This window comes from Homo sapiens, chromosome 7 (genome assembly GCF_000001405.40).
Source record: "Homo sapiens chromosome 7, GRCh38.p14 Primary Assembly".
NCBI lineage: Eukaryota > Metazoa > Chordata > Mammalia > Primates > Hominidae > Homo > Homo sapiens.
In genome coordinates, this window is record NC_000007.14 from 112,041,762 (window position 1) to 112,055,999 (window position 14,238).

At 37.3% G+C, this 14,238-nt stretch overlaps 1 protein-coding gene across 14 annotated transcripts in view; it reads right to left on the reverse strand.

Moving 5' to 3' along the window:
- Nucleotides 1-14,238, reverse strand: part of DOCK4 (dedicator of cytokinesis 4) — a 480,290-nt gene that overhangs the window by 315,652 nt on the left and 150,400 nt on the right. Inside the window, exon 1 of one of the 14 annotated variants that reach the window (XM_017012822.2) lies at nucleotides 503-5,703. The exons of 12 other annotated variants lie outside the window; for them this stretch is intronic. In XM_017012822.2, the coding sequence (XP_016868311.1) occupies nucleotides 503-572 (70 nt within the window). In that variant the 5' untranslated portion in view covers nucleotides 573-5,703. Of the gene's footprint in view, nucleotides 1-502; nucleotides 5,704-14,238 lie in introns of those variants that run through there. One more of the 14 variants, XM_047421079.1, reaches the window with a different exon arrangement.

Sequence of the window (14,238 nt, forward strand, 5' to 3'; positions counted from 1 at the left end):
ACCAAACATACATTATTTCCATGACCCCATCCCCCCACAACCCTAAAATTCTGTGATTCTATGGCAAAGAGAAGATATTTGCTTGGACCCAGCCTGCCCCTTTTGCATCAGATAGCGTACTTCTGGACAGTCAAGCTGTACCCCACTGGAATGAGAGTGTCAGCCTATGGGCGTATAGGGGAATACAGCTGCCAATGTGAAGATGCTCCAGTTGATAGGCAAGCAAGGTGGCACACGCGTGTAGTCCTAGCTACTCAGGAGGCTGAGGCAAGAGGACTGCTGGAGGCAAGGAGTTCAAGGCTACAGTGTACTACTACCACTCTTGTGAACAGCCACTGCGCTCCAGCCTGGGCAACACAGCAAATCATTTCTTAAATAAAAAAAAAAGAAAAAAGATTATCCAGTCCTTTGATGGAACGAAAATAATAGTCATCTGCAAGGCGACAGAGTTATAATATCTGAGGATGCTTATTCCTCATTTAGTGAACCCTATTCTACTTACTAGAACAGACATCATTGTAGTCCAGAGGAATCAGTGACCAGGAGACGAAGACATTGTGCTCCAAGCTCATGTCTTATCTGCCTAAGGATAGGAAGATCATCTTGAAAGTGTGAACGAGGATATTCTGAGTGTCTTGCAGACATTGAGGAAGGATCAAGAACCTACCAAACAATATTGAACAAAATTCACATCCAAGACAGCAAAGGTTAATAAAAGTCTGAGGAGAGGCTAGAAGACTAACACATGCTGAGTAGAAGTTCCATGAATGCCACCACGAATGACAAAAAAACAGAGCAAATAAGTCGGGAAAAAAATGGTATTTAGTTGATATGCATAATCGATACAAAATTAAATCTTTGCTGTCCAACTGCTTACCATCTGCATGACCAATCATCTTGGGATAACTTGCTTCTGTTAACACACTTGATTTACTTCAAGGTTGACACTTAGCATGTCGGGCAGTGCTATGGTTTGAATATGGTTTGTCTCCTCTGAAACTCATGTTGAAATGTGATTGCCATCATGGCACGGTTGGGAGGTGGTGGGGCCTTCAAGGGGTAATTTGATCATGAAGAGTTATTTATGTCTTTCTCATGAGAGTGTGTTAATCTCATGGGAGTAAGTTAGTTACCATGAAAGCGGGTTGTTACAAAGCAAGCTCAGCCTCTCGTGCTTGTTTCTTTTGCACCGCCCCGCCCGCAAGTTCTCCCACCATGTGGTGTTTTCCATCATGTTATAACGCAGCATGAGGCCCTCACCTGATGTGGCCACTCCATCTTGGACTTCCCAGCCTCCAGAATTGCAAGCTAAATAAACTTCTTTCTTTTATAAATTATCCAGTCTCAGGTATTCTGTTATAGCAACAGACAATGAACTAAGACAGGCAGAGAAAGGAAAATAATCACACACTAACCAGTGAAATAAAGAGAGACTTTCACACTTCTTCACTGACACTGTTACTAAATCTCCTTTATAAAAAAAAAAAACTTAATCAATAATCTCATTATTCTCTCTAGAAAATTAACCAATGTTACTCATAAATTATAATATTCAATTCATCTAGAACCTGCCACAAATCAACTGTTATCCACAAAGAATGGGGTGTTAAAAACAGGAGCTTACTTGTTTTGATTAGTACACAATGATGAATTAATAACATAAACACACAACAATGAGATGTTACAGTGTAGATAACCAAGACATTGCCTAAAATGTTAAAGGCAAGATTAAATCTCTATTAAAAAGACATCCATAAAGCTATTAATGGAGAGAATGAAGTGTCACAGAATCATGAATGTTAATGAAAAAGGCAGATAAGCCATTCTCACAGAAAGCAATCAATTAAAAGAACACACTGTTCCAATAGAGCAGAGCATGCTACCAACCAATTACAAGCACCAGTAGATGCGAATGTCAGGGAATGAACAGGCAACCCTGGATAGAGGGGATTTGAGAATATTTGACCTCAATATGACTTCTCCATAGTATCTAAATACCCCCTAGATAAGCTAATTCTGGGTCCCAAGAAGTTGTAATGAAAGCTCATGGCTTCCACTCTGAAATAAGAATCTTAAAGAGGAAGCAATTGGAAGACTTTATTATTTTGCATCTGAGGTAGGAAAACTAAGTTTAAAGAAAAGACTTTCTGAAGATTTCCCAATGAGTGACTTAGAATAATAATTATTAATAACAATAATAAATCATAGCTGCAGCTTCTCTTGGATAGCACTTAACATAGTGACTTAAATGCTTTACTTATGTCCTGTCAATTAAGTTCCCAAGTACTCTGTGAGGTACATACTATTATTATCAATTGCAGTTTGCAGATAAGGAAACTGAAGCACAGAGAAGCTATATAATTTAACCAAGGTCATACAGTAGGTATGTGGGAGAATGAGGAATAAACCTAGGAAGTTTGTTCCAGAGTCTGTGCTCTTAAACCCTGCCTTATACCATTGCTTACTATCCTGGCTTTTGTACTAGTAAGGTTCCCCCCATTTCTGAACTATATCAGCATGAATAAAACACTGCGTGCTGGACTGGAAATAGTAGAAGACAAGGAATCAAATGACACGAATTCTGCCAAAAACCTGTGTCCTTGGGCACCTCATTCTACTTTTCTGAGCTTTAGGTTCTCCATTTCCATAAAAATGATCTGTATTGGATGATCTTAGATATTTTTATCTAGCACTCATCAAGGTATGTAAGTTTTTCTACTTAAATTATGTCTTAGTAAATTTTTATCTTTAGCCCAAAATTCATCTCTTACTCTAAACTCATAAATCCAAGTGTCTACTTGACATCTCCATTGGTGTCTAACATGTCCTTCAAACATAGCAGGTCTAAAATCAAGTTCTTCCTTCCTCTACCTACCTTTGGGTATTAACCTACCCAAATCCCCTGATCCCACCACGTTCTTACTCACCTCGTGAAATACAACTCTCTTGCACTAGTTGTTCAGGCCCCAAACCTTTTTTTTTCTCATCATACCTTACATCCAATCGTTGAGCAAACTCACTGGATAGGTTCTTTAACATAAATCCTGAGTTGAACCATCTCACACCACCACAACTACAATTATCCTGGCCCAAGCTCTCACCATCTCTCATTTTGTCTATTGCTACAGTTTCTAACTCTTCCCAGCCCTCAGACCATGAGCCTCTTCCCTTGCTTCATGGGGCAATGCCTAGAAGGATCCTCCTAACCCCAAAACCCTTCATGTCTCTCCTCTACTCAGATTCTCACTCAGAATGAAAACTCACATCCTTTTCACAGCTAATAAAGCCCCAGGTGATCTGGTTCCTCAGTCCAGCTACAGCTTCTCCTCACCTCTGCCTTGCTGAGCTCACCTCCTGCCATTTTCCCCTTCCTCATTCTACTGGCTATTCTGGACCCTTTCTGGCTCTTCAGTCACAGCAGGCACACTCATCCTTTCTTATTTTTATATCTGCCTCTGTTTAGAACACTTTCCCCCAGATATTTGAGTGACTTATCCTCTCAATTTCTTTAAGGTCTTGGCTCAAATGTCACCTTACAACAAGAGTTTGACCACTGTAAAAAGGCAACACCCTTCCACTGACAAGCTCCATTTTCTTACTCTAATTTATCTTCCTAGCATTTCTCCACTCTCCCACTCCCTCCACATCATCATTTTTCTCCTCATTAAAATGTTAGCTCTATGAGACTAGGGAATTATTCACTGCTATAAACCCACAGCCTGTATTAATATCTGGCACATAGCAGATTCTCAGTAAATATTTGTAAAACACATGAACAACTCAGCAAATAATTTATCACAATGTGTTATAATGATTATTTGTCACTAAATGCTCCTTGGCTGAGAACAAAGATCAAGTCTTTTCACCATACATGCTTGAAACTTAGCACTTGCCTGAAAGATAGTAATTGCCCAATAATATCTGAGGATATTCTTAAAATAACAAGTTAGGAATGAATAAATTCAAATGTCATGGCTCTAAGTCTGATGTGTGATAGGCTGGTGAGAGCACACCATTTTGTTCAAGAGAGAAACAGTTGACTAACAGTCATCAAAAGCAAAGCCATAGCAAATACTACCATTTAAAAAATGAGGGAATATAGGTCAAATGCCGTTTGCCAAACCCTCCAAAAAAGTTTGTTAAATCCACGCCTCATAACGTGAAGTTAAGAAAATGACAGTACATTTTTAATGGAGTGGAAAGAATGCAAGTTCCCTTTAGCTATAATGTATAAGTTTATACAGTCATGGCATATGGAACTGCTGCTTAGAGAAATCATTGTTCAATACCCTATCCCTTAAATAACAACTGTACAGAAAAGCTTGTCAACTCAAAACATCCTTATCATTTGTGTTTGTTTCTTTATTGGATATACTTGGCATTTACTGGATTCTGTGAACTTTTACTGGCAGGGAAAAAAAGCAATCCTAGCCCATTCTACCTTATAATCTACACAATATAACATAAAAGGTAATAATCAACCAAATTTATACAAGTATACCCACCATCTATACAACTTTGGAATTCTCAAAAGAAAGCATTCTTCATTTGTTCTGCCTTGAATCATTTAAGAAAATTCAGACAATTGAAAAAATAGATTTAGGACAACTGTATTCTTATGATAAAAGATACAGGTCAGTAATAAAAAAGTAAAAACCAAGATAAAAAGAAATACTTTCCTAAAAATGCTGCCAAATTGGAGAAGAAAAGAAAACCCTTCAATGGACATGTCTACCTAATACTTCTGCTTCCAACCAAGATGGAACAAAAGAAACTGGATTTAACCCACTGCCTGAAACAACAAAAAAGCTACTTGGGAGGCTGAGGTGGGAGGATCACTTGAGCCATGATCTCATTACTGCACTCCAGCCTGGGTGACAGAGTGAGACCCTGTCTCAAAACAATGACAACAAACTGGATAATATATGAAACAATGGTTTTTCAAGACAGCAGATTTCAGGCATTGAAGAACATGTTCCTTGAGAGAGGGGCTACATATGATGTGAGCCCTATGATTGCCCCAGCTTACTCCCTTGATAGAGGGTCCAGGCCATGGAGCACTGGAGGAACCAAAATAGAGCCCATCCAACTCCCTGAGCTGAGAGAAAAAGAGTTGGGAGTCTGAGGGGACCAAGGCAGCTTAGAGTTTACAGCAGCAGCGAGGAAAAAGCTACAAAGAGAAAGAATCACAGAAATCTGCAAAGGTTCTACTTTAAGTATCCCAGAAAACATTAACCAGTGCAAAATGTGAGGAAACGACATGACTCTGGGGAAAGAACCACTCTGAAGGATTAGAAGGAACAGTACCTGAAATTCACATGGGGCCTGTTCCCATTAGTCAGACTAGAAAACCTCCTAATTCGTGGGACACTTTGGAGAGAAAAGTTTGCCTCAGTTTTAAGGCAAAAGTAACCCTAGACTAAATGATACTCTGCCCCAACTAACAAAACCTAAAAGCAAGACCCAAGAGAATCAAGTTAACTTAACTGCACCCCAGAAGGAAGGTTAAGAGTATTTACAGATATTCAAAATATTCGCTACCTAAACTGGTAAAATCCACAGATACACAATAAAAATTCTACAAAAGTGCAAATAAGCAGGAAAATATAGTCCTTTGTATGAAGAAAAATCAACCAATCTAAAATGACTCAGAACTAATACAGATGTTAGAATTAGCACACAAAGACATTGGAATAGTATTATAACTGTATTCCATATATTCAAAAATTTAATGGAGACATTAAAAGACATTAGAAAGACCAAAATCAAATTTTTAGAGATTTTGTAAAAACTATCATGTGATATGGAAAAAGCAAACAAAACTACTAATGGGATTAACATTAGACACTGAAGAACAAAAGATTAATGAAGTTGAAAACATAAAATTAGCAACTATCCTAAATGAAACACAGAGAAAATTAATTAGTTTATTTATTTATTTATTGGAGATGGAGTCTTGCTCGCTCAGTTGCCCAGGCTGGAGGGCAATGGCATGATTATAGCTCACCACAGCCTGGAGCCCCTGGGCTCGAGGGATCCTCCTGTCTCAGCCATCTGAGTAGCTAGGACTGCAGGTGCATGCCACCATGCCTGGCTAGGTTTTTATTTTTGTAGAAATGGGGTCTCGCTATGTTTCAGAGGCTCATCTATAACGCCTGGCCTCAAGGGATCCTCCCACCTTCACCTCCCAAAGCACTGGGATTACAGGTGTGAGCTACTATGCCTGGCCGAGAAAAAAATTTTAAACACAACATCAGTGATCTGTGAGGACAATGTCTCGTGGCCTATTATGTGAGTAACTGTAGTCTCCAAATGAGGGGCAGGGACAAAGAAAGCATTTGAATAAATAATGGCTAAAATTTTTCCAAATTCGATAAGAACATAAATCTACAGATCCAAGAAGCTTAATGAAGCACATGCATAAGAAACATGAAGAAAACTATACATCATAATTAAACGACTTAGAGCCAATGCTAAGGAAAAAATTCTTAAAAATATAAAAGAGAAAGGCTGGACGTGGTGGCTCACGCCTAGCACTTTGGGAGGCTGAGGCGGGTGGACTACCTGAGCTCAGGAGTTCGAGACCAGCCTGGGCAACATGGTAAAACCCCATCTCTACTAAAAATACAAAAAAAAAAAAAAAAAAAAAAAATTAACCAGGTGTGGTGGTAGATTCCTGTAATCCCAGCTACTCAGGAGGCTGAGACAGGAGAATCGCTTGACCCCAGGAGGCAGAGGTTGCAATAAGCCAAGATCAAGCCATTGCACTCCAGCATGGGCGACGGAGTGAGACCCCATCTCAAAAAAACAAAAAAAAACAAAACAAACAAACAAAAAGAGAAAAATGCACATTAAGTACAGAGGAAGAAAGGTAAGAATGACATTATTTTTCTCATAAATAATACAATCAAGAATCAATTTCTGCAAGAAAGTAGAGAAACGTCTCTAAACACTGGAAGAAAAAGAAAAAAAAAACATCAACCTAGAATTCTACATCCAGTAGAAATATCTTTCTTTTTTTTTTATTTTAAGTTCCAGGATACACGTGCAGGACATGTAGGTTTGTTATGTAGGTAAACATGTGCCATGGTGGTTTGCTGCACCTATCAACCCATCACCTAGGTATTAAGCCCCACACGCATTAGCTATTTATCCTGATGATCTCCCTCCCCCTACCTCCCCCAAAATATCTTTCAGAAACGAATGTTAGATAAAAACTTATTCAGACATACAAAGGCTGAAAGAATTCACTACCAGCAGAACAGCATTACAAGACATAGTGAAGGAAGCCCTTCAGGCAGATGGAAATGTGGATGTACACAAAGCAATAAAGAGCACCAGAAGTCGTAATTACATGGGTAAATATTTTTTTTTGAATTTGCTATTATTTAAATCACCTTAAAAGTCAATTGACTGTTCTAACAAAAATAATAATATATTCTGGAGCTTATAACTTATATAAATACAGTGTACGACAGTACCACAAAGGCTTGAAGGAGAGAAATGGAAGTATATTATTGTAATCTTGTTATGCTACATGTGAAATGGTGTAATATCACTTGAAGGTAAACTGTGACAAGTTAAAGATGTATGTTAAAACCTTTAAGTAATCATTAAATAAAAGAGACTTACAGTTGATAAGCGAAGAGAGGAAATAAATTATAATCATTAAAATAAAATTGTACTAAAGAAGACAGAAAAAGAAGAAAAGGTACAAAAAACAAATAAGACAAATAGAATACATATAGCAAGAGGACAGATTAAAATCTCAGGACATCAATGATCACATTAAATGCCAATCGGTGTAAATACCACAATTAAAAGGCAGAGATTGTCATATTGGATTAAAAAAGCAAGACTAAACTATATGCTGTCTACAAGGAAAGCACTTCACATATAAAGGCACAAGTTAACATGCTAACATTAGCCAAAAGAAAGCTGGAGTAGTTATATTAACATCAGACAAAGTAGATTTCAGGGCATAAGATAGTAGCACAAAGATTATTGCACAATGATAAAATCATCAAGGGGACCTACCAATCCTAAATATTTATGTACCTAAAAACAGAGCTGAAAAATACATCTAATAACGTCTCTATCAAGTCAGATGTGCTGGAAAGGTTTGGTATTTGGAGACTTGGTGACTTAAATCTGAATATTAGCTTCACCACTACTGATTTTGTGACCCAGGGCACATGGATATAATCCTTTGGAGTTTCATTTCTTTTTCTATATGATAAGTGTACTCAAACTAGGTAGCTATTTTAAGAATTTAAGAGGATCTGTCTCAACACCTAGCATGATGTCTGATACAGAGCAGACACTCAAAACTGGTTATTTTCCTCTCCTTTTATTTGTCACTGTGTCTGTTTTAGCTTTCCTTCTAAAAGGAGACATTCAGCAGCACAAATAAAATCTGGCACTTTCCCCCAGAATTTAAAGAGGCCTCTCTTAAAACACTTTAAAATACTGGTCATCTTTGAACCAGTCTTGTTTGTATTTAAGTTTTAAGGGAGGTCTCCAACTGAGATAAACGTTTCCCTGGACTATGGAGGAGGCTCTTTTGCTATCCAATGTTAAGGTCACTGGATTGATTCCCTGACTTTAAATGAACTATACACAAATCAGCACAATCCTAAACATGGTATTTACTTGCCCAACAACCTTTTTAGTATGCTGTAGTAATCCACATAGATTACATAACATTATACTAGCCCAGAAATACTTTTAGGTATTGAATTTCAATTAGTCTTCCACATTGGTAAACAATCATTTAGATAGAAAGATTAAAGGTAGTCATTGATATAAATGACTAATAACAGTAGCCCCAATAATACGTTTTTAGACAAAATTCAAATGTTGGATTTCATTGAAGAGTCTGACAGAGAGAGAGAGAGAGATAGCAAGCGTGCAAGAGAGAAAGCTCTAGCTTCCAGCTTCCAGCTTCCAGTGTATACTTAACTCTTTCAAAATCAACTTTTATATTAGGAGAATTGCTCATTTCAATCCCGATTTTTTTACTGATTTGAAAGTCTGCATAAGTTTTCATGTTGTCAAGACAAATTGAAATTGCCAAGTATTACTAAAATCCAAATTCTGAAGCTAGAACATCTATGTATTGTTTTTGTTTAGCTTAGTATTTCAAAGTTAATAATTTCTGATAATGGCATTATACAGATAAATTCATGAATTGCAAAAATGTCTTGTGACCTGGCAGTATGGTCCATTGGGTGCACAGTTCTAAGAGTAAAATATGGCCATTGCTCACAGTTAAAAATAAACAAAGAAGAGAGTATTAGGCACACATATATGTTAATACTATATAATACCACTGTACTATACAATACTGTGCTTACACCTAGAACAAATGAGTGGAACACTAAAAAATACTGTGTTACTTTTAAAGTTTACAACGTAAAGGGAAATGGAATGGCACAATCTTGGTGGCTAGGCATTGTCAAGAAAAGTTTCATGCATTAATTAGAAATGTATCAAGACTCTGGGGTGGAGGGTTAAAAACTCTCTCAGAGGATGAGGATGAGGTAGGACACTTCAACAGCAGGATTTACTAATATGATGGAGGGTAGGTTTGGTGGCACCAGATTACAAAAGGCCTTAAAATTTCTGCATATACATTAGTTATACTTTTTAGGTGGAAAATTATAATGATACTAAATTACAGATTACTTTTAAATGACTTCTTTTATCGAAAAGAAGAGCCAGGGAGAAAAATGGAGTTAGGGGAAGAATTAGTAGGCTCAACAACTTTTGATGCTGATTTCTGAAGTAAGATATCTAAAAATGATTGCAATCATTTTTGGAGAAGACATTAATAGGTCAGGAGATCAGAAAAAAGAATGACATTTTCTAATAATAAAAAAATTAATTTTCTCTTGGCTGCAAATATATTTTCAATAAAAACTTGGAAGCATGAAGGGAAGAACCTTTGGAGCTGCTCAAATGATATTATATTATTATATGAGATGATTTCATGTTGCTGTAGAAAATATTCAGGCATTTTAAAAAGGCATGAAAAGATACTCTTAAATCTTCCAAAGACTATTCCAATTTATTTCTCAGAAGACTTAATTTTAATTAAAACCTTAAAGAAGTCTAGCTAAATAGCTAGACAGATATCTATCGATATTTATAGATTTATGTCTATACATATTTATATACAGTCATCCCTCGGTATCTGTGGGGGATTGGTTCCAGGACCTTCTGCAGATACCAAAATCCACAAATGCTCAAACAGTTCCTTATATAAAATGGTATAGTATTTGCATATGACCTATGAACATCCCCCCATATACTTTAAATCATCTCTAGATTACTTATGATACCTAACACAATGTAAACGCTATGTAAATAATTATTGTGCTACATTGTTTAGGGAATAATGAGAAGAAAAAAGACTGTACATGTTCAGTACTGATGCAATTTTTATAAAATATTTTTGATCTGTGATTGAATCCATGAATGTGGAACCAATGGATATAGAATGTTGACTGTATGTGTGTGTGTATATACATATATATGTAGCTAGACACACACACATATACCTATATATTTTAAATCCACCGTTTAACCTCCAAGTCCCAAAACTCTTCTTATAGAAAACTCTATAGATATAAGTAATGTTGCATTTGGTAGAATTTTGGAGTTTCATTGAATATTCTTTCCTGTTTCCCCTTCTTCCCCCCCTCACTTCGGGCATATAATGTATTACAGATTTCTATTCTATATTTCTTTGAAATTCATTACAAAGTTATGTTATTTCAGTGAAGGATCCCCAGGCCCATGTTGGGTCAGACTTGTTTCCAACATACCAATTTACCATCTGTATCTTTACATTATGTTGTAATGCCCCAGACCCATCCCTGAACTATTATACAAAAAGATTTGCTGCCTCCCACTCACCCACCCGCAATAATGCTGTTTCCTCATATAAAAGCAGCTGGGCTTGTACATCCACTCCCTCCCACCATCCCCCTTTGATATGTCTCTGCATTTATTTCACACTCCTCTCCAATATCATTATTAAACTCTTAATTCTCCTCTCAACATTCTTATTTTACAGCTTTACAAACTAAGGCCCAAGGAAAGTTGAAATAATATATATCAAATATAAAGTCAGTCTGTTTTCAAAGCAATTGACAGAACACACCAATATGATTCCAGTTTGTAGTTCTGGTTTCTAATTCACCAAACTCCCCGGAGTTAAAAAAGCCAAGTGGAAAACCAGTTAAATGCTAAATTTTCCCTTACCCAGTGTTTATTCATTCCAATCATTCTTTCAAAGAACAAACACATAATATGATTCTGTTCTCTTAACCATTGAAAACCTGGAGCTAAAAAAGCGCTAATTCTTACTGTCCAGCCATCATTCAGGAAAGGCAATGACAGGCCATAACTCTTACTAATTATAGTACAATATTTGGCCACATGCAAGACCTTGGGGTGCTGTTTATATCCTACTCCTCAGATCAGGTTCAAGGATTTGAAGTTCAAGGTAAGGACAAGCAAGGTGCCACAATCAGACTTCACTGGAGTAGATCATGCTGCAAGACCAAACACAAGGCAAAGGAAAAACAGTCTTGCCTGTCTCATTTTTGTGACTCAGTGCATACAAATATCTTTAAAAGGGTTTTTCTGTAAGAAAAAAATTATTCCACTCACTTCTTCCCCACTTTGATCCCTACTTCTCAGAAGTCCAAGAAGTAACTCTGTCCATTCACATGAAGATGAATACCACTAACTTGTAAAACCCCAACAAGGCATCATCCAGCTTAATTACAAAGTGTTGCAAAGCATAGTCATAGTTTTAAAAGGGCTCTTTCCAAACACTTGACAATACTCAACTTATAAAACATGAGGCTTTATTTCTACAGTGTATTTAACATTTTGCTTGCTTTCCCACTCAATGGCTGCATGGATTACCAGACCTTTCAAAACCAGCTATGTCTATCAGAACTTGTGGAAGAAATGTCCAAGGGAAGGCATCATCAGCAATGTTGTCATAATTACACCGTCAGCTAATCATATGCGCTGGGACCTTACCTAAGCACACAGGTGAGGAGTAGAGAGTGCAAAGTGGCAAATGAAGATAGGAGCTGTTCCTGGAAGGGGGCAACAGGTTGCTGAGGAGGCAAACAACAAATGTCCAGGAGGTCTCCCCTGAGCTTCTCGAACTCCCACTGTGTAAAGTCTCTGGGCATTTCTTATGAAGCACTCCTCTGAGAAGAGCAGGGACGAAATAACAAAGGAATGGGATTTGGGACTACATGCAGTGGCTCACGCTGGTAATCACAGCACTTTGAGAGGCCAAGGCGAGAGGATCACTTCAACCCAGGAGTTCAAGACCAGCCTGGGCAACATAGTGAGACCCTAACTCTATAAAATATAAAAATAAAATAAAAACCAAAGTAACATATTTGGAACTGTGAGGTACAGGAAATGAGTACCTCCACCTCAGAACTGGGTCACAAAATAATGACTTGCTCAGCATTGAGTTTGGGATGACAAAACTTTATATTCCTTGGATAAAAGTTATTTAATACTGCTCTACAATTTCAAAATGATGAGACCTATCATTATATACCTTTCTAACTCTCCATGTATCTTTACCACAACTGACCCCAATTTCTAGGGAAAAGAACTTTCACTCTCCAAGAAATCTTAGCATTAAAATACTGACCTTGTAGCCAAAGACACCACAAAAATCATGACTATATTAAATGACTTCCAACTTAGAAAGCCCTAATGTTCTTCTTTTCTAAACCAAGCTCTGAACTAGGAATTACTGACAAAAAAAAACAAAACTACAAAATAATGAAATACAACAATGTATTTTTCAGTTCTTGTAGGGAGAAAAAAAGATGTTTCATGCAATGTTGGATTTATTCACCTATGCTCCCAAATCCTTTTAATTAAGTGAAAGTTGTTCACTTAATTTGGAATTAACTTATTTTACATTTATTTAGAAGTTTTATTCCAAAAATCTTAAGGTTCGTTTATGAGCAACAATACAATAGGCGGTATTTTCAAAGCCCTTTGTACTTATTCCAAGAAGGATTAAAGTAATTTAAGACACACTTAATATAGAAAGTTAAAATAAACTTGTTTCATTTAAAAAGAAACTATAAATTGAAGAAACAGGAAGCAAAGTAAATAAAGGTAAGAAAGCAAGGTGAAGCCAAAAGTAGGCCTTGTATTCTAAATTTATTCAATTTCTACAAACAGTATTTGTACAGTCCATGTATTTCTACATACAGTCAGTCCTTACCATCATCAATAAGGTCTTAGAAACTGCGACTTTCAGTCAGTCAAACAATATATAATGAAACCAATTTTACCAAAGACTAATTGACATAAACAAAGGTTAAGTTCCTGCAGCATATTTTCTGGTCACAAAAACATCACCAAACTTCTAAATAATGACCTAAAATACTTCTAATATTCAACACTGAAATAAATGTGAGCTATACATACATTTAAGGTAGATTAATAAAAACAAGGAAGATCATTATTTATCCACTTATTCCACAGGGAAACCCTTGGCCAGGACAGTCATCCCATCACAGGGTGCACTCGCATACCCCCACACTCACTCAGATGGAGACCCTGTAGATACGCCAATGAACCTATCATGCACATCACTGAGATATGGAAAGAAAGGGGAATACCTGGAGAAAACCCATGCAGATGTGGGGAATGTGCAAACTCCACACAAAGAGTGGCCACAGCTGAGAATCGACTTTTTTTTCTTCCCCATCATCATAAGCAGACAACAATGAATGAAACGTTATTTGAGGACCTGTTGTACTGCAAAAGACGAGATAGAATTGGCTTTAAACTTCCCTAGGGCAGGGCGCGGTAGCTCACGCCTATAATCCCAGCACTCTGGGAGGCTGAGGTGGGCAGATCACTTGAGACCAGGAGTTCGAAACCAGCCTGGCCAATGTGGTGAAACCCCGTCTCTACTAAAAATACACAAATTAGCCAGGTGTGGTGGTGGGCGCCTGTAAACCCAGCTACTCAGAAGGCCAAGGCAGGAGAATTGCTTGAACCTGGGAGGCAGAGGCTGCAGTGAGCCAAGATTATGCCACTGCACGTCTCCAGCCTGAGTGACAGAAGGAGATTCTGTCTAAAAAAAAAAAAAACCTTTCCTAAAGAAAGGGAAGAAATGTAATCACTGACAAGAATCTGTGTCCATAAGATAAAAACAAAGGGCTAGCA